The 20,014-nt window shown below is 49.3% G+C and overlaps 1 protein-coding gene across 7 annotated transcripts in view, besides 5 other annotated features; it reads left to right on the forward strand.

Annotated features, from left to right (window-relative positions):
- The window catches only part of EPHB2 (EPH receptor B2), a 210,663-nt gene that overhangs the window by 110,609 nt on the left and 80,040 nt on the right, over positions 1-20,014 (forward strand).
- Positions 5,590-5,884: a silencer, noted in NCBI's record as "tiled region #697; HepG2 Repressive non-DNase unmatched - State 23:Low, and K562 Repressive non-DNase unmatched - State 20:ReprD". NCBI's record gives its function as "represses a minimal TATA promoter and a strong SV40 promoter by Sharpr-MPRA in HepG2 and K562 cells {active_cell/tissue: HepG2 | K562}" and the evidence as "EXISTENCE:reporter gene assay evidence [ECO:0000049][PMID:27701403]".
- Positions 5,590-6,136: a biological region, named in NCBI's record as "Sharpr-MPRA regulatory region 697".
- Positions 5,597-6,136: an enhancer, noted in NCBI's record as "H3K4me1 hESC enhancer chr1:23153536-23154075 (GRCh37/hg19 assembly coordinates)". NCBI's record gives its function as "activates a minimal SCP1, AML or CMV promoter by ChIP-STARR-seq in primed H9 embryonic stem cells {active_cell/tissue: H9 hESC(primed)}" and the evidence as "EXISTENCE:reporter gene assay evidence [ECO:0000049][PMID:30033119]".
- Positions 6,319-6,840: an enhancer, noted in NCBI's record as "H3K4me1 hESC enhancer chr1:23154258-23154779 (GRCh37/hg19 assembly coordinates)". NCBI's record gives its function as "activates a minimal SCP1, AML or CMV promoter by ChIP-STARR-seq in naive H9 embryonic stem cells {active_cell/tissue: H9 hESC(naive)}" and the evidence as "EXISTENCE:reporter gene assay evidence [ECO:0000049][PMID:30033119]".
- Positions 15,148-16,095: an enhancer, noted in NCBI's record as "H3K27ac-H3K4me1 hESC enhancer chr1:23163087-23164034 (GRCh37/hg19 assembly coordinates)". NCBI's record gives its function as "activates a minimal SCP1, AML or CMV promoter by ChIP-STARR-seq in primed H9 embryonic stem cells {active_cell/tissue: H9 hESC(primed)}" and the evidence as "EXISTENCE:reporter gene assay evidence [ECO:0000049][PMID:30033119]".

Raw genomic sequence — 20,014 nt, forward strand, 5'->3', positions numbered from 1 at the left:
CATCAAATCCAGCTTTCTGGTATCCCAGAAAAGGAACCTGAAGCCCAAAGAGAGGAAGGCACTCACCCAGAATTGAACAAAAAATGGGGGCAGAATCATGTTCGGAAGCCTGTCTCAGTAATCACAAAACCTGAGTTATTGGCACAAGAAATGCCCTCTGTCCCTCCTACATTCTGGGACATTTCTTCTGGTTCTTGGATTGTTCCTCTCACTTTCCCATTTTCCTCTCTCCCTTGTCTGGGCCTTAGGGTAGTTGCCCTTTGGGGCTTCTGTTAACCTTTGGATTGAGTAACAGAGGATCTGATTCTGTTCCCAACATGGATACAAAAGATGTCTGACCTTGGCCTTTAGCATTCTGGTCTGAGGATCTTAAAGGTCTTTCCTGCTCGGACAGTCAGTTTACGAGATACTCTGAAGCTAGGGGTGGTTTTTGCTTAGTGAATGTGGTTACTGGTACCAATAGATCCATATATTCCTCAGCATATGAGGCTCCGGTGGTGGTACTTGTGGAAGGGGCAATGGATAAGGGAGAAAAAAAACTAAGGTCCTTGGATGATGCTGGGAGGAAAGAATAATCTTTATTAGACATCTACTATGTACCAATTACAGTGCTACAATAAATGTAAGTAAGTATCTCCTTATTGCTAGACAATGGCTCTTAGATAGGGTTAAAAAATAGAGTAAGTCCAGCTATGTGATCTTTTGAAAGGACACATCTAAAGCAAAATGGAGAAGGGTCAAAGGTGAAGGGATGAGCCGGGCTCAGTGGCTTATACCTGTAATCCCAACACTTTGGGAGGCCAAGGCAGGAGGATCACTTGAGGCCAGGAGTTTGAGACCAGCCTGGGCAACATGGCGAAACCCCATCTCTATTTTTTAATTTAAAAAAAAAAGGAAAGTGATGGAAAAGACCTACCAAACAATGCTAAAAATAAATTTAAAATGAAGATGAGAAAAGAAAACAAAAGTGGCAATGTTAATATAATGCATATTTCACAGTTGAGGCTCAGAATGATAAAGTAACTCACCTGAAGTCATCTAGCCCCTAACTGGCAGAGGTGTGATTTGAAGCCAGGTCTTTCTGTCTCTTAAATTCCTTCTTCCTTGGGAATGTCTGGTTGCCTCCAGTGAAGTTGGCCAGCATTGTGACCTTGCCCTGATGGGATACGGGTCTGGAGCCACCATCACAGAGCAGGCTGGAGCAGGCAAAAGTGAAAGGAAGGCCCTGTTGGCCAAAGGGACCAGTCCTGGGTCAGGACATGCACTGGCATCTGGGCCAGAGCCTGGACCAACTCTCAGAGAGCCAGCCATGTGCTGCTATGGCCTGCCGTCCAGTTTCAGGCCCAGTGCCCACAGGGGTCTCCACTCCCTGCCTTCCAATCCCTAGTCTCAGGCAGAGGCTGAGATGATAGAGGACCCGTCCCACAGAGCCACATGGCTAAGGTTCATGCCTGGAATGTAGTTCCCTCTGCGTGGCAGAGAACAGCAGGCCTGAGGCCTCCAGGAGACAGTTTGGCTGTGGTTCGGCTGAGCCCTAAGCTAGGAGCCACTGAGACCTACATATACCCTATCCATTCCCAGAGCAAGGGCAACAGTGGGGCCAGAGGCAGGTCCTCATTGTTTCTTAGGAAGAGCCAGACAGGAGACCTGGGTCCAAGTTAGCTCTGCCACATCCCCTGCACACATCAGGCTCCAGTCATCCCAGATGGACCCACCACGGCTCCCAAAAAGCACCCTCAACTGCCTCGCTCCTCTAAGTTTTGCACACGAAACACAACGTGCAAATGGCGGTTAGCTGGCCTATGTAGCTAACCTGGCCCATCCTTCATAACTCAACTTGGGTATCACCTCCTCCAGGAAGCCTTCGCTGACTCCTCTTCAAGTCTGTATTATAATGTATAGAACACTGGGTTTGGCTTTCTCTTTACTTGTGTGTCTCTTCAGCCAGTGCCCTGTATCTTGAACTAATGTGTGGATGGCCTTTAAGGAGGTTTGTGAACCTCCTTTGTGAAATTGTTCACAAAATGCTTCCTGTGTGTATATATGTGCATTTGAGTGGGCAGCAGTAATAACTTTCATCAGATTGTTTTGAGAATTACCACTCTAGACTGTGATGCTCATACAGTTAGGAACTGTGTCTGTCACTGTCTCCTCAAGTGATATATAATAATAGAAGTAGGTGATATAATAAATATTAATTAAATGAACATTGGATGAATAATTTGCGGGGTGACCTTAGGCAAGTAACTTCACCTCTTTCAATCTTGATTTTCTCATCTATAAAATGGGAACAAAAGTGAGGATTCCACTATCTAAGCTTTTCCTCATCTCTGTTTTCCTTCTCTACCCCAGCACCTAGCATAGTGCCTGGCACATAGTAGGTGTTCATAGATATGTATGAGAGGAATGGAAAGATGAGCGATTGGTAGGCAGGTGGAAGAATCAGTGTTTAGATGAATGAATGACAGTGAGCGAGTGAGTGGCTGCTATCCACTATGTGGAGAGAAGACCCAGTGGATGTGTTGGTAGGTTCACTGGCTGGACAGGTAAAACAGTGCCTAGGAAGATAGGTTGATGGATGGGTGGAGAGAGTGAGTGGACATATTCATGCTAAATAAATGGCTAGATGAATGGCTCAGCAAAGGGAAACTTAAGTATTTGGGAGGGGCTGGATAGGTAGGTAGGTTTTTTATAAAATCATCAGTGGATGGGAGAAAATGATGAATACATGGATCATAGATGGATTTGTGAATGCATGTGTAGATATATGATTGGATAGATGGATGGAAGGAAGGAAGGTCTAACTGATGGATGGGGGAAGGAAGGGAGGGAGGGAAGAAGGAAGGAAGGAAAGAAAGAAAGAAGGAAAGAAAGAAGAAAAGAAGAAGAAAGGCCTCCATCCAACTCAGGCCAGTGAGTAGGAAGGCAGAGACAGAGAGTTTCCTGTGAACAAGGCTGGCTTACAGAGCAGGTAAGCCACCTTCCAGAGCTGTTGTGTATTGGGCCCCAGCTGCGCTCTTCCTTTCCATGGGTCCAGGGTCTCTCTGGCGGTGCCAATATTCAGAAACTGGTATAGGATGGAGACAAAGGGAGTAGGCAGATACCAGGGCCAGAAGGAGGGAGGGAAGACGGGTGGAGGCTGGGCCTGCCATTGGGCAGCCGCCCCTGTTTACTCAGCTCCAGAATGAAGCCCCGGAGAAGGGCTGTTCATATTTCTACCTTGAACAGGGAGCTGACATTAATGAACAGCTAATTAACATCTTGGAGTGCGATGGTTCCAGTGTCAGTGTCCCTAATTAGTCTCGCGCTAATCTGCTTTAATTAACTGTCCCTGTCGTGGTTTTAATTTAATTTTCAGCTCCAGCCTGGGATGGCAGCCCCGTGAGCATTCCGTCCCAGGGCACCTGTGGCCAGGGCAGGGTGGGTTGGCCAGTGCCAGGTTCCCAGGGGCATTGCCAGACAGCCCAGCGATGGGCAGAGCTGGTAACAGAGCCTGGCTCCTCTGCAGCCCTGCGGGAAGGGGACTTGGGGATGGGACACTTTCCTCATCTTCTCAAGGAAGTATTCTCAAGTCATCAGGAGCTCCTAGAACATTCATAGGTCAGGAGCATAGTCTGTGACTGCACCTTGATCTCAAGAAGACCCCGTAAACTGACCATACTTTCTGGACATAAGCTCCGATTCAGGTAAACCTGGATTCCTGTGTGACCTTAGGAAAAGCACTTGACCTCTCTGAGCCATTCTAGGTTATCAGCCCCATTCGTTAGTTATACAGTTGGATAGATGGTCAGAAGGAAGGAAGATCTAATCCATGGATGGGGCTAATGAGATGGGGCTGATAACCTAGATGCTGGCATCCCGCTTTCACCAAAGATGCAGTTTTTCAGGGGTGATCTGCATACACACCTAACTCCTCGGATGATCCAGTTGGAACACACACTATGACAGCCACCCTTGGGTCAAGAGTGGAGAGGGCTGGGAAGGAGCCTAGATCAGGGGGTGAGCGGAGCACTGGTCCAGGACTCAGGATACCCAGGTCTCAGGCCTAGCTTTGCTGCTACCTTCAAGTCTCTCACCCTCTCTGGGCTTACACCTCACTCCCATCCATAAGTTGGAAGGGGCAGGAAGAGGGAGAACAAGATGCTCTCTGAACCCCCTCATGCGTTGGCCAGAGTTAGAGAATAGATGTACAGCTGGCTCAGAAAACCTGACATCTGGAGCAGGAGAACTAAGTGGGAGCCAGGGGCTAGGGCCACCCTGGGGGCCAGGTGTGGCCTCTGCCTTTTGCAAGGCAAAGCAGGAACTAGCTGAGGAGGCAGTGGCTGCCTTGGTCACCAGGACCCTGCTGCAGGTGGGAAACCAAATCAACATGTCTGCCCCTGGCAGGAGCCAGAGAAGCATCTGCCAAGAGAGTTAGACAAATGAGGATCGTCTGGGGGGATGCTGGCTGGTGTCTGAGGTGGGGAGGGGAGAGTCCAGGATCTGAGTCAGATCCCTTGTCCCAGAGTGGCTGGGAGCTAAGAGTGCAGGGTGGGTTGAAGGCTGAGGCCTGAGGAGTGAGGAGGCCCCTGCTGAGGCTGGATGCCAGCTCAGGGATTTAAGCTGTAACCCTGAGGGCACTGGGGAGCCACGGCCAGATTCTGAGCAGGAGAGTAGCTAGATCAGCTGATTGGCCACTGGCAGTGCGGGAGTGAATTGGAGTGAGGAAGCAGGAGGCAGGGAGGCTGCCTTCCTTCAGGCAGTGAGTCTACTAAGTGCGTTCAGTGTGACCTCCAGAAGCATAGATAGTGCACTCTTTAGAAAAAGGTGGGCGCACCTGCCTCTCCCCACGGCCTTGGGCTTAAGGAGTATGTTTGGCATTTCCTTGTAGTACCAGTTCCCAGAATATAGCTCACACTTTCTGCAACTGGGGTCTGCAAACCCCAGAATGGGGAGAGGGTCCCAAATATATTCTCAGGGGCCCAGGAATTCTAGGAGAATTTAAACTTTTGATGTTTAGATTTGGATGCTGATTCTAACAGACAATTTGGTTTTGACCAGTTCTAAAGCAACACTTCTCTCCCAGTGATCTCTCAAGGGGGAAGGCATCCTTGCTCCTGGCATCGGAGGACTGGAGAGGTAGTCTCCAAGGGCCACAAAAGACCATTTCCGTTTCTAAAGAGTCTGTTCTTGTCCAGCCCTGAGAAATGCTGTCACGCCTGCCTCCCCCAGGACAGTGAGCTCTTCCAGCCGTGCTGGAGCTGGTCTGGCTCACTGTGTCTCCGCAGCCTGACACAGGTCCGGACCCAGGGAGGGTTTATGAATTGAGGCAGGTTCTTTCTGGATGTCCCACAGCTCCCTCCTTGTCTGGCCCTGAGAAATGCTGTCACGCCTGCCTCCCCCAGGACAGCAAGCTCTTCCAGCAATGCTGGAGCCAGTCTGGCTCACTGTGTCCCCGTGGCCTGACACAGGTCCAAACCTAGAGAGGGTTTATAAATTGAGCCAGGTTCTTTCTGGATGTCCCACAGTCCCCTCCCCCTGCCTTTGACCTCCAGTTGATCTTTGCTTTCAGTCCAGTCTGAGCTAAACCAGTTTTTCCTGAAATTCTTAGTAAATGAGTATGGAATCCAGAGCTCCTGCCCCGCTTCCTCCCTACCAGAGCACAAGATTTCTATGAAAGGAGAAGAACCCCTCACCTTTCTCGATTCCCCTCCCTTGCTCATGGAAACTCCTCACATTTCTTCAGATCCAGCTCAGACCAGGCCACCTGCAGAGAGCCCTCCCTGGCTTCCCCAGATGAATGTGTCAGTCTGTCCTCGGAGCCCCTGGAACATGTGCCGCCCCCAGGCCCAGGTCCTCTCTTTTGTCTTGCATTGAATATATTCATGGCAGGAACTGGATTGCTCCCATCTGTGTGTGCTCTGCTCCCAACCTGGCTCACAGCAGGGGCCCGCAGGAGCAGGTGGAAGAGAGGTGCCCCTCGTCCCCAGTGTATTCTCCGCAAGGGTCCAGTGGCCGCCAGCCTGGCCTTTAGCATGGTAGTGTTATACATAGTAGTGGCTTTGCTGTCCGTCAAGCCTGCATGCAACCTGACTGCTAACCAGCCAGTGACTTTGGGATGCATCTCCTGAAATCTCAATTTTCTCATCTAGAAAATGGGTAATGATGGCACTTACCTCGTGAGGTCACTGTGAAGACTTAATTTAGGAGACTCATGTAAAGCGCCTGGGTCATAGTAAGTCCTCAATCAAACCATGCCAGTGATGATGGTGGTGAAGTGCTAGAGCCCAGAGTGCTTTACACAGAGTCAGAAGAGTTAAAAGAAGCCTAATTCTGAGTGCTACCTGCTAACCCTCCTGTTCCCTGTCTCACTCACGCCTGGAAATGGCTCCGCCAGGACTCAGGCGACTGCAGAGATAACAAGCCAAAAGGTGACAGACCCTTGGCCTTGCTCCAGGGGCCTTCACCATCCACATGCATTTAGAGACCTGCACGTGAGGGACATGCACAGTGATACAGAGACAGAGCCAGGGCTATAAACGTGAGCACTCACAGTCATGTGTGTGTCCACACAGCCACACACTCAGAATAAGGAGAAAGAGGCCACTTTTGATGCCCAAGCAAAGACAAACATTTCAAAGCAGAGGTGGCCATGGGGGATCTCTGTTCTGCTTCCCCAGCCCTGGGCCACTGATGGGCTATAGCCACCCCCACTCAGTTCTCTCTGGGTTGAGCCAGCTGCCCAGGCTCATGGCTGTTTTAGATCTTGTGTCAGTGACTAGAGCAGGGACACCACCAGGGGCTGAGCTCCTCAGGGACTGCAGTGTGGGGTTCATGAGTGGGTGCATATGCCTCTCCATGGACCCTGGCAGAAGTAGCAGCAGGGCCTACACTGGTCCATGACTCACCCAACACTGTGGCTTGGGAAGCAGTCGAGGCATCCGGGCCCCTCCAGCTCCCCAGCCCAGCCGTGCCCACCCCACCTAGCAGCTCCTGGAGCCTCTTCTACATCTGCACGGATGAGCATTGAGTTGACCCAATCCTTGTTCTGGCAGGAAGAGGCCAGAGGGTCCAGACTGTAAAAGAAAGCTGGAGACCTTTCGGAGAGAACTGTGAACACTGATAGAACGGTCAAGCAGCCAGGGGCTAGCAGTAGGGGAAGGTGACGAGGTCAGACAACCCAAGATGACAGGCTCACGTGACATCACAGTCACCGCCTGTCACGGCCACAGAAATGCACAGTGTTAAAATCACAGTCAAGCAAGAATTTTAGAATGTTACAGGCCTAGAAAGGTTGTAATCATAGAATTATAGAATGTTGCAATCATTTAATCATTGAAGCACTAAGACGACTAGGCACAGAGAGGCCAAGAGGCAGGAGCTTTAGAATGTTGTAGGCATAAAAGGGTTAAAATCATAGAATTACAGAATTGTACCACCATAGACTATTAAAATTGTAGCCTCACAAGCAGGAATTTTAGAACGGTGCAGTCACAGAACTGTAGACTGTTACAGTAAACACACACGCATAGAATATTCACTTGTAGACTTACAGGCAGGAATTATAGAATGCTATAGTAATAGAATGTCATAGTCAAGAACTGTGGAATATTCAATATTCAGGTGCCGTAGTGTCACATCAAGAATTAGAGATTGTGAGTGCTGCAAGAACATTTTACGTGTCTTGTGCCAGATCCTGTGCAAAGCACGTGACACTGACTGACTCGTTACTCCTCAGAGCGCTGGTGAAGTGGGCGGATCCACTATGGGGCTGGGAGGTAGGAGCCACATGCAGCCCCCAGGCCCTGGAGCCTTGGCAGGGAAGGTGGGAGCAGTTGCCTGGGCCTGCAGTTGGCCCCTCCCCACCCCTAGCACACACCCAGCCGGGAGAGGCTCCCGGTCAGCGTCTCTCCTTTTGTTAATGTGTGTCTTAGGGGCCCACCAGATCAGCTTCCAGCTTATGGGCAGGATGCCTGCAGCCTGATGGGGTCGGCTCTACAGGCCCCACCCAGATTCCAAGCCAGGGTGTAAGACCATGGGTGCGTGGTCCCCAGAGGCCTCCCTACAACTGGCCTTGACCCTCACCTGCCTGTCTAGTGCACAAATAGCCACATTGATTTTCATCAAACACCCTTCCCCCATCCATCATTCATCCATTCTGTCAGTTGTCATTTTCAGATCACCTTCTGAGGTCACTGGGGAGGTGGACGTGAATCAAGACAGCCCCCTGCTCTAAGGAATGGAATGGTAGGGCCATTTGGGGACACAGAGGAAGTGCTGTGGGGGTTGGGGATGGTGGGGATGGCCAGGGCATCACGGAGGGCTTCCTGGAGGTGAGGCTGGGTCTCAGACTAGGCAGAATTTGGCTCCGTAGGGATGACGGATGGCAGGGGCATTCCAGGCAGAGGAAGTGACAGGACAAAAGGCCCAGGAGACAGCCGCATGTGATGTGTTCAGGAATCATTAGGAGCTTTTGTTTGGGCAGCAATGAAGGCTCCAAGTGATGGCAATGGGGCAGGAGAGGTAAGTCGAGGCACCGAGCAGAGGCTTTTGAGTGCCAGGCTAAGGAGGTCAGGATTTGTAAACAATAAATGGCTGTGCGAGTTCATGATCATGCTCAAGTTTGACTGGTGGGAAGGGGGGACTAGGGCTGACAATTTGCTTTTCCTTCCTTTAGAAACAAGAAACTGCAAATTCCTTCCCAGGACTGGTGGGCCAACCCTGGGCTGGGCTCCAAAAATACAGAGAAAGGGCTTTGGCGGGAATTCCAGGGCTGCACTGAGGGGTGCTGGCTGCCCAGCCTTTGTCCCCAGAGGCTGGCATCAGACGCCATGCTCTGAGGAGAGGGGCGGTTCGCAGACACTGAAGGGGACCCACGTGATTCCTTCAAGTTCTTTGCAGTCTCTGTAGAAGCCTGCTCAGAGGAGGAGGCCATGCGCACCAGGGAAAGGGCCAGACAGGCCTGTGCTTGAATCCCTGACTGGCCTCATATTGCTGAGTACACTGGGCAAGTGATATTATCTCCCCAGGCCTTGGTTTCTCAATCTGTAATGTAGGAACTAACAGCAGAACCTCCCTCACAGGGCCACCAGGAGGCAAGGGATACCTGGCCCTTAATGTGTTCAAAATTCATATTCATTTCTTTTGTTTGTTTGTTTGAGACGGAGTCTTGCCCAGACTAGATTGCAGTGGTGCAATCTCAGCTCACTGCAACCTCCACCTCCCGGGTGCAAGTGATTCTCCTGCCTCAGCCTCTCGAGTAGCTGGGATTACAGGCGCCCACCACCACGCCTGGCTCATTTTGTATTTTTAGTAGAGATGGGGTTTCACCATCTTGGCCAGGCTGATCTCGAACTCCTGACCTCATGATCCACCCGCCTTGGCCTCCCAAAGTCCTAGAATTACAGGCATGAGCCACCGCACCCTGCCTCATATTCATTTCTTTATGCCAACGGTCTTAGATCAACAAGAAGCATTTAGTCCAATCACCCCATTTTACAGGTAGGAAAACAGAGGCTCCAAGAACGACAGCAGACATTTCAAATGTAGAATGGCCAAGTGTGTGGGTGTCAGGAAGAGGAAGCTAGATGAAGGAAGAGGGGTAATGCTCCACGTTGACTACCAGAGTCTGAAAGTCTGAACCTGGGATGCCAGGCAGGCAGTAAACCCAGGGGCTCCCCAGATCAACCCAGCAGTACTGACTGCATCTTTGCAGGTCCACACTGGCAGCCTGTACACTTTGAAGAACAGCAGGTCCACTGGGGATGAAGGGCGGCTGCAGGGATGGTGATGGGCATTGAGTGAGGTGATTTATATAGGGCAACTTACAGAGTGTCTTGCACATAGAAGGTGTTCAGGTCCTGGGAGGTAAGTGAGCACCAGATACAAACCCAGAACTGGGATGGGGAGTGGCTGCCCCTTGCTACCTCCCCCCTTAGCAGAAAGTGAAAGCATTTTGCACAAAAACTCAGCTGTAGGCATTGTGTAATAGCATTGATCTATCCAAAAATATTGAGTGCCTACTGTGTGCCAGGCAGCCTGTGAAGCCTTTTGCGTGAATCCTCTCATTTCAACCCAGGAACCCTTACAAGTCAGTCTACTATTATTTCCATTTTATGGATGAAGAAACTGAGGCTCAAGGAGCCTGAGTGGTTTGCCTAAGGTCAAGCAGAGCAGGGCAGGAATCCAGGGCTTTCCAAATTCAGAGCCTTAACACCATGCCACACTGTGCTGGCAGAGATAGCAAGAGTTGTTGGAGATGATTATAAGGGGAGGGCCAAAATGATCGTGGGAATCCAATCCCCGTGGCAGTAGGTGGGAGATGCTGACCTGGGCTTCCTCAGAAAGGTGTGAAATGTTGACACCCTCCCCTTGGGCTCTTCAAGGGCTCAAGAGGGGCTGTGTTAGGCTGGGCTGGAAACAGAGGGCTGACCATCATGGGTTCCAGAGGGAGCTATCCACCCCCCTACCTAGCCAGAGGCAGCCAGGATTCCATTAACCTGATTCTCTGCCCCACATAAACCTGCAAAGGGAGCCCCTGGAGGGAGGGGTACTGGGGAGAGGAAGAATTGGGCTTCCCCAGGCCCCAAATGGAGCAGCCAGTGGTGCTAGTTTCCTCTCTTGCAGTCCAGGAGGACCTTCGAGGCCCCTGGCTGTTTGAGCGGGGAATAGGGAGAGCGATGGAGAGCCAGAAAGTAGGGACAAGAGACTCCAGGCTGGGGTGCAACAGCAGGAATAGCAGGAACAGGGTGCACGTCATCAGAACAATGGGTCCTGAGTCACTCTGTGCCTGCCCAGCCCTGCATGGCCCTGGGTGAGTCATGTCACTTCTCTGAGCTGTGGGTTCTTCCTCAATAGTAAGGGCAAACCAATGCCACCTCTCAGTGTTGCTGGGCTGATTCACAATACCGGGCCTCAAGAAATGGTGGCTGTTGCCAATGCTATAATTTTACAATCTTGACCCCATGTATCCCTTCTCAGCTTGCAAGCCACATTCATCCTTTTTCTCCTTGGAGCCTCACAATACTTCTGCAAGGTGTCCAGGATTCTTACCAGAGAGGTTAAGGGACTTGTTCAGAATCACACAGCTTCTAACCCTTGGCCTGGGATGCACCCCTAGTGATTGTCATGGAGTGGGCCATCCCAGCCAGGCTACGCCACTCTTCTTCAGTCTGGGTGGTTGCTATTCCTCTGCCATGATTCACGTCAGATGCCTCTTCCTCCAGGAATCCCTCCCTGACCACACAAGAGCCTGGTTAGTACAACTCTCTGCTTTCCCACAACCTTTGAGACATTTATCAGAGTGTTTATCAGCAGTCATCACAACCGTTAGGTGCTCCCACCTAAGACTTTGAGGGTTCAGCCAATACTTTATAATAGAAGAAGAGGGGGTACAATAAATATTTTGTTAATGACTACAGCACCTGTACAAAGGGACAGATAGGTGTCCACAGACTCACATGTATAAGTAACAGTCATGCATGCACAGCCATGCACATGTGGCTTAGTGAATACACATGTATACAGACAGGGAGAATGTTCTGGAACATGAATTGTGCTCATGTGGATGCCCCATCCCCCCACCCCCATATAAACACATAAAAATACTAGAGATGATATTGATACAACCTGGTAAGAGAGAAAGGAAAATCCTTGGGTGACTTGGTTTTTCATTTAAGGGATTTTTTTTTCTTTTTCTTTTTCTTTTTTTGAGACAGAGTCTCGCTCTTTTGCCCAGGCTGGAGTTCAGTGGCGCAGTCTCGGCTCGCTGCAACCTCTGCCTCCCAGGTTCCAGCGATTCTCCTGCCTTCAGCCTCCTGAGTAGCTAGGACTACAGGTGCACGCCACCATGCCTGGCTAATTTTTGTATTTTTTGGTAGAGACAGGGTTTCACCATATTGGCCAGGCTGGTCTCGAACTCCTGACCCCATGATCTAGCCTCCTCGGCCTCCCAAAGTGCTGGGATTACAGGCGTGAGCCACCATGCCCGGCCTCATTTAAGAGATTTTTGAAATAGTAGGTGGAACAAAAATACAGCCATAAAATAGAAGCTGGGAGGAATAGGATTGGAATTACAACATACTAAAATTGTTTGGGAGGTAGATAGGGATAGCAATTAACTTTTGGCTTGGTTGAGGCCAATGTGAGTGTTAAAAATGACAGGGTACCCATGAAAGACAGAATATATAACTTCTGAAGCAGCAGAGGGAATAAAAAGGCATACAGCAAATACAATCAATTCCACAGAATTAAGAAAGGAGAAAAAAGTTTTAAATGGATTATAAATAAAACATACAAGAGTATAAAGTCAAATACGTGTTAGTGTTCACAATAAATGAAAATGGGTTCAAAACTGTTAAAAAACAGAAATTCATAGTTTGGATGAGGAAAAACAGTACAGCTCTATCTGTTTACTGCAGACAAGCCTAAGAGATAATGAGGCACAAAGGGTAAAAGGAGAGAAAATTATGTATCAGCAAATATTCTCTAGAATAAAATAGGTAGCAAGATACATTTCAGAGGATAAAAAGACTTTAAGACAAAACAGCATTATTAGGGACAAAGAAGGTCATTATATCTTGTAATGACAAGATATAATAATCCTGAACTTAGTCTCAAAACACTTTAAAAAAAAAAGATACACTTGTAAGAAGAAAATGTCAAATCAGATCCAATTGGTGGGATATTTTAGCATAGCTTTCTCAAAAATCAATGGAGTAAGTAGACACAAATTATTAGACTCAAATGAGCTAACTAATAAGAGCCCTGCTCTCAACAAAGAAAAATTACACTTTTTCCCCCTCAGATTTACCACACAGAATGTCTCATACAGGACCACAAACCTTCCCCAGGTGTGTAAGTACCTGAGGACAGAGTGACAAGTGTGTAGGAACAGTTAACTCTCCCAAAGACATCCAGATATGAGAGGGGGTCTTGTATGGTGGCCAAGGTGTTTAGCTAACTAAACAATTCCATGACTTCGGACGATTAAAATACCTTGTCTGAATCTTAGTTTCCTTATGTAAAACATGTCAATTTGGGGACAGCAGACTGTAAAGGGCCAGAAAGTTAAAATTTTAGCCTTTGTGGGTTTTACAATCTCTGTTGCAACCACTCAACTCTGCCATTGTGACATAAAATCAGCCATAGGCAACATGTAAACAAATGAGCCTGGCTGTGTGCCAATAAAACTTTATTTTCAAAAAAAAAAATGGCAAGGCCAGGCACGGTGGCTCATGCCTGTAATTCCAGCACTTTGGGAGGCTGAGGTGGGCGGATCACTTGAGGGCAAGAGTTTGAGACCAGCCTGGCCAACATGGTGAAAGCCTGTCTCTACCAAAAAATACAAAAAGTAGCCAGGTGTGGTGGCATGCACCTGTAACCCAGCTACTTGGGAGGCTGAGGTGGGAGAATCACTTGAACCAGCGAGGCAGAGGTTGCAGTGAGCCGAGATCACACCACTGCACTCCAGCCTGAGCGACAGAGCAAGACTCTGTCTCAAAAAAATAAAAAAATAAAAAATAAAAAAAAGGCAAGCCCAAATTGGCCTGTGGGGGCATAGTTTGTCAACCTAATACCATTTGCCTTGCCAGGATTGGCGATGACATAGAGAATGATAAGAAAAGGAAAGCATTGTATACAGCACAGGAGTTCAAAAAAGGGGTACCTATTGGCCGGGCACAGTGGCTCACACCTGTAGTCCCAGCACTTTGGGAGGCCAAGGCAGGCAGATTGCTTGAGTCCAGGAGTTCTGAGACCAGCCTGGGTGACATGGCGAAACCTCATCTCTACAAAACATACAAAAATTAGCTGGGCATGGTGGCATGTGCCTGTAGTCCCAGCTACTCAGGAGGCTAAGGCCAGAGGGTCGCTTGAGCCTGGGAGATCAATGCTACAGTGAGCCATGATCACACCACTACCCTCCAGCCTGGGTGACAGAGCAAGACCCCATCTCAAAGAAAAAAGAGTACCCATTTTGAAAGAGGACATAACAGGAAGATGTGTACACACATACACACATATGTGTACAGAGACACACAGACATGCACATATGTTTGCATATGGATATATAAAGACTGGGTTGCACATGTAAGCACATTTTATGCACGAGTAGACATGCATGCATGTGGGCATGCTTTCATACATGTAGGCAAATCATCTAGAAAATGGGATAAGAACATGGACCTCATGGGGTTGTGAGTGAACGAGTCCATGGTGCTCCGTGCAATGCCTAGCCCATTGTAAGTACTCGGAAGTCAGCTTTATTCCATATGGGAATGGGTCTGGAGCACGGTAAGGGGTACCTGACACCACACACGTTCACACAGGCACGCACAATGCAGTCTGTGTGAGCTCATTTTCAGAGGAAAGCCAGGCTAATGAGGAGGTTGTCTTCGTAGCCAGCGGGTGCCCAGGACAGCCCTGATGGGGACGCCACTTGGCTTTCTCCTGAGATGTTGGGCAAATGAGGAGAAAAGGCGTTTTAATCCCTCGTCATGTCTGTGAGGGCTGGAGGACATGTGCTGAGCTGGAATTCTCAACTTCAGCCTTTTTTTTTTTTCCTTGACACATCCATCCCAGAAACATCTGTGAGATGAAACAGAGAAAGGTCTTATGAATTCAGCTCGTACTCGGCCTGTGCTCCCACCCGGAGCAAGCGAGACATGAATCACCGGCCCAGGGGCTCGGGGGCCCCACAGAGCAGCCTCTCCAGAGGGGCCCCGGCCTTTCCAGCGTAGCCGCTTTTGATTTCCCCAAAGCCTTCTGATCGTCTACACTCCACAGAGCATGTGCGTCCAAGAGAGAGCTCGGCTTGCACCAGGGTGGGGGAGAGCCGCTCATTCCTCAGACTGTGCTGAGTCCAACTCTACACCAGGCTCTCGGAGGCACAAAGATGAACCAGACAAGGAGTGCGCCGAGGCCCTTTCACTTGTCCCCATCTTCCCATTGTTTGAAAACACTGGAGGAAGACAGCTATTGTGGTTTTGTGAGCAGTTGCTTCAATGGGCATGTATTTTGGTACATTGATCCGTAGAAGCCGTAGAATGTTGTGCGTTGGACATTTTTATCCTGCATGCAGGAGGGAGTGCGTAATGGCTACTGCTAGGTCAGGGATCAACCAGGTAAGGTCTTAACAGCCAGCCAGTAATTGAACTTGACCTTCTGGGGGCCTGTGCGTGGCCTGCAGCCTCAGATCCCGCCAGATGGCTGAAATCCCTAGCCCTCTCCCACCTTTTGTCTCACCTTTTCTGTGTGTTTCAAGAAAATGAGTAGATTTCAGAGCCGCAGTGACCCCTGGCCTTTTGTAGCATGCACCAGGGCCAGGAAGGGGGCAGAAATGAGGCCAGCCCTCTTGTTCATTTCTTCTGTCCAATGGACAAAGCTGTGGTGGGCACCTGCTGTGCTCTGGGCCCTGTGCTGGGCACTGGGGAAACGGAGGAGAAGACAGAGCTTTCTTTAAAGAGCCCACAGGCTCAGGAGGTAGACAGCCCAGGGCCCTGGTAGAAAACTTTTTGTTTCCTCAAAGATGCAGACAAAGTCCTGTGAGGTACAGGAGGTGGGAAGAGGGCCTTTGTGGTTCCAAGTGGCTGGAGCAAGACCAGGAGAGGCCCTACACGGCGGGGGAGGGGGGCCTGAACTGGATTTGAGTGTGCAGAGATGGAGAAGTCTGCAGACAGGCTTGGGCACTGGATCAGCAACGTCAGGGATGGGAGAGCTGTCAGTCATTCAAAAGACGTCCCAACCAGAGGGTCCTAATTATTTCAGCTCCCAATGTTATAAAGAAAGCAGCTCAGGCCTGAAGGGGGGAAGCCATTCTCCCACTGTCACAGGGGCCCCTGGGACCCCCAGTCCCCTTTCTAGGGCCATTTCCACAGTCGGGGAGAGAGACTTACTAGTATGACTCCCTGCACACACATAGATGCCTGCTTTCCTTGTGCTGGCCAGCTGCTGTGCGGGGTGGGGAGGATGTGATGTTTACAGAGTCACAAGTTTATGAGAGGGATGGGGGTTCTCTAACATGAGTGTAGGTGGGAGAGATAAAAGAGTTTCTCTAGTCCTGAAGAATTTGGGCCCATTTTACAGATGAGAAAGTTGAGTCACAGGAGACCAAGTAACATACCCAGAGTTGCACATTGTTTAGTAGATTAAACTAGGCGTGTATGAAGCAAGGAGAGGGAGAAGGTGAACGCCAAGTTTCAGCCATTTTCCCATCTGTTTCCAGATCATCCCTGTCTTCCTCAGGACAGTCCCAGACCAGTCCTTCCCATTCAGCTTCTCACCTTGGCCTTCCCCACTCCTTCCCAGAATTCTTAGCAACAGACCGGCAGCCTGAGAGGGGCTGGAATCCCCCAGCCCACCCCCATTCCTTGGAAGGGCTGGCTCTTGTTTACCCAGCTGGTGTGAACCCAGGCTGGGGTCACCAGGAAGACCGAGGATGCCTGTCGTCCAGCTGGTGCCCCACTGCTTGGGTCTAATGACCCCTTCCCTCCCTTTCTAGGCCTCCCCCAAAGAGGTGACCCAAGGTGGGGCTTGGCCTCAAGGAATAGGGGAGCTTGGCTCCTATTTCATCCCTTTATGTCTCTGTTCTTTCATCTTTCCTGAAAAAGCAGAGGTGGCCACGAGGAAAGAGATGGAATCAAACTTAAGAGCTAGTTAGTAAGGGGCAGATAAACAGAGCCCGGGGTTTGGCACTGAAAAACCTGGGTTTGAGTCCCAGATCTGTGTGACCCTAGCAGATCCCATGCCCTCTCTGGACATCCATGTTCCACTCTGCCATCTCAGGGCAATGGTCACCCCCGATCCCAGTGAAGCTCAAGTGCAATAACCAATGTAAAAATGCTTTGTAGAGTCAAAATGCAATAAGGTTGGTGATTACAGTCATTATTAGATTGACATAAGGGAACATATCTGTTCAGAAAGGCACATTAAACTAATCAGGGGAAGGGGCATAGGCCAGGAGTCAGAAGACCCAGGGAATAGTATAGGCATTAACTGTGTGGCCCTGGGCATGCGCTTTTGCTTCATTATCCCTTTTAGCTCCGCTTACGTTAAAATGGAATCATAAGCCCTGTTCTCCCTACAGAGTCTTATGGTGACCAAGTAAGATTATTCATCCAACCAGCATTTACTCAAGACCTTCCATGCACCAGGCCCTGGGGTAAGCTAGCATGTAGCTCCTGTCCCCGAAAATCTAGTATGATTTTTCGGAAAATGATACTAGAGGCCAGGTGCGTGGCTCACGCCTGTAATCCCAGCACTTTGGGAGGCCGAGGCGGATGGATCACGAGGTCAGGAGATCGAGCCCATCCTGGCTAACATGGTGAAACCCCGTCTCTACTAAAAAAAATACAAAAAATTAGCCGGGCGTGGTGGCAGGTGCCTGTAGTCCCAGCTACTTGGGAGGCTGAGGCAGGAAAATGGTGTGAACCCGGGAGGCAGAGCTTGCAGTGAGCCGAGATGGCACCACTGCTCTCCAGCCTGGGCGACAGAGTGAGACTCTGTCTCAAAAATAAAAACAAAACAAAAAAAGAAAAAAAGAAAAAAAGAAAAATCATACTAGAGAAGGGTGTGGGGTTCAGAATCCTAGAGGGTCAGGTATAATTGAGTCTAGTCTGCTCATTTTGCAGATAGGAAAAACAAAGCCCTAAAAAGCAAAACAGCTTTCCCAGGATATCAGAAATGAGGAACACCTGTTGCCACTTCTCTGCTGAATCCGAGGCAGACAGTACCAATCAATCACGATGCTCTTCCTGCCAACCCACATGCTACTTCAGGATCTTCTGAATCTCAACGCAACACTCTGGGCAACCACCAGTCAATTGGTCAGAGTTGGAGGGCAATCTGAAACTATGCATACCAACCCTAAATCCTAACCCTGGACTTGCCCAAGGCCATTTGGCCAGAACGATCTGTTCTGACACTCAGACGCAGGGTCTTTCACTCACTCTGCATCTCCATTTGCTCCTGAAAGCAACTCTTATGGAGTATCCACCAAAGATGAGTAAGGCCTGGTGACCGTCAGCAAGAGGCTCAAAGTCTGGGGGAGAAGAAAGTCAAAGGGGAAGTAATTGTGATATGGGGAGAAAGTCAGGGATATACACAAATCCCTGTGGGAATTTGGAGAAGAGAACAACCTGGCTATTCAAGGACAGGGTTAGGGGGCAGGGTGGTGGTTAAGGAAGGCTTCCCAAAGGAAAGGACATTGAAATCAGCACTCAGCCAGCAAATACATGGCAAACATGGGGTCCTGGATAGGGTCCAGATGCCTCAGGTGTCTGAGGATGAAGGACATCTATGAACTGACATTAGAAGGCATCGTAGCAGGGCCACCAACCCTGGTGAATGGGCAAAGTTGGGACTTGGGAGGAGAAACTCAGGAGGTAGGAAGGGAAGTTTCTAGGCTGTTTTGAGCTGAAGCCCAGTGAACTAGACGGTCAAGCCCCTACTGAACTCACCTATCGTACCCTACACTCCTTCACTTGTAGCCCTCATCATACTGCTAATTATTTAACATAGGTCTAGGCTGGGAGCCCGGATAGGGCAGGGACTGGATCTCATTTGTTACTAGCTGGGACTTGAACGTAGCCCTGGCGCAGTGCCTGGCTGCTTCATTGTAAGTACTCAGTAAATCTTGGACGGATATGTGGATGGATGGATGGATGGATGAATGGATGGATGGATGGACAGAGAGATGTCATGCAGCCTCTCTCTAAGCCTGTTTTCTCCTTTGCAAAATGGGAGAAATAGTGCCAAACTCATAGGGATGTTATAAGGATTAAATGAGATGATGTCACTAAAGCCTCTAGCGTGGTGTGTGGCATTCAAAAAATAATATTTATTGAAGGAATAACGATGACTACTTAAGCACAAGTGTAAAGATACTCTTGATAGATAAGCTCCTGATGAATAAATTTTGCATACTCTACCAGGATGATTAAAAGAGGAGGAAGTCTGGGACACAATTGTTAGAAATCAAGCCTAGTAGTGACCATCAGGGTGGTAAAACCTTGGATGGAAAATGCCCCAAATCATTTTATTTTTTATTTTATTTATTTGGTGGAGTCTTGCTCTATCGCCCAGGCTGGAGTGCAACGATGTGACCTTGGCTCACTGTAACCTCCACTTCCTGGGCGCAAGCGATTCTCGTGCCTCAGCCTCCCAAGTAGCTGTGATTACAGGCACACACAACCACGCCTGGCTAATTTTTGTATTTTTAGCAGAGATGGGATCTTGCCATGTTGCCCAGGTTGGTCTGGAACTCCTGGCCTCAAGCAATCCGCCCACCTTTGCCTCCCGAAGTGCTGGGATTACACACATAAGCCACCATGCCCGGCTCCCCAAGTCATTTTAGAACATGGAAGAATGGAGCTAACCACCCATTCCGTGCAGACACATTATCCTAGCACTTTACACATGTTAATTTATTTAATCCCCACAACAACCCCCTGTGTTAGGTACTGTTATTACCCTCATTTATCATATAGGGAAACTGAGGCACAGAAAGATACCCAAAGTCTCACAGCCAGGAAGTGGTCTGACTCCCAAAGCCACTCTTTTAGCCACCTGAGGAGCTCACTGTCTGACAGAGGAGACTAAGTAGCAATTACTAGGAGCAGAGATTGCATCTCTGTCCCCAGCAAGGTGCCCACCACATAGCAGGTTCTCAATCAGTATCTGTGGAATGAATGAATGAATAAACAAATGAATGAATCTGCATACCACCAACTCTAGAGCAGTGTGACGGGCTCTAATCATGGTATTAGTAGACGAATGGCAGCAGGTTAGTGCCTGAATGATCCAAGATTACTGTGTCTTATCTAAGTAGTTGTCATGGTCAGTTATAAAGCTTGTGGAGGACACATGCTTTGCTGTCCATTCCTGTGTGTCACTACCCATAAATGGCCTCTTGTTGTTCCTGTGATCTTAACCAGGGCCTCTTGCTGTCGTTTAAGTCCTTGTAGGGCAGGAGGGAGTCTGGACTGCAGGGAGGGCTCAGTGCAAAGGAGGCCATGCTCAACTCCAAGCCAGTGGGGAC

The sequence above is a fragment of the Homo sapiens genome, chromosome 1, assembly GCF_000001405.40.
Source record: "Homo sapiens chromosome 1, GRCh38.p14 Primary Assembly".
NCBI classification, from domain to species: domain Eukaryota; kingdom Metazoa; phylum Chordata; class Mammalia; order Primates; family Hominidae; genus Homo; species Homo sapiens.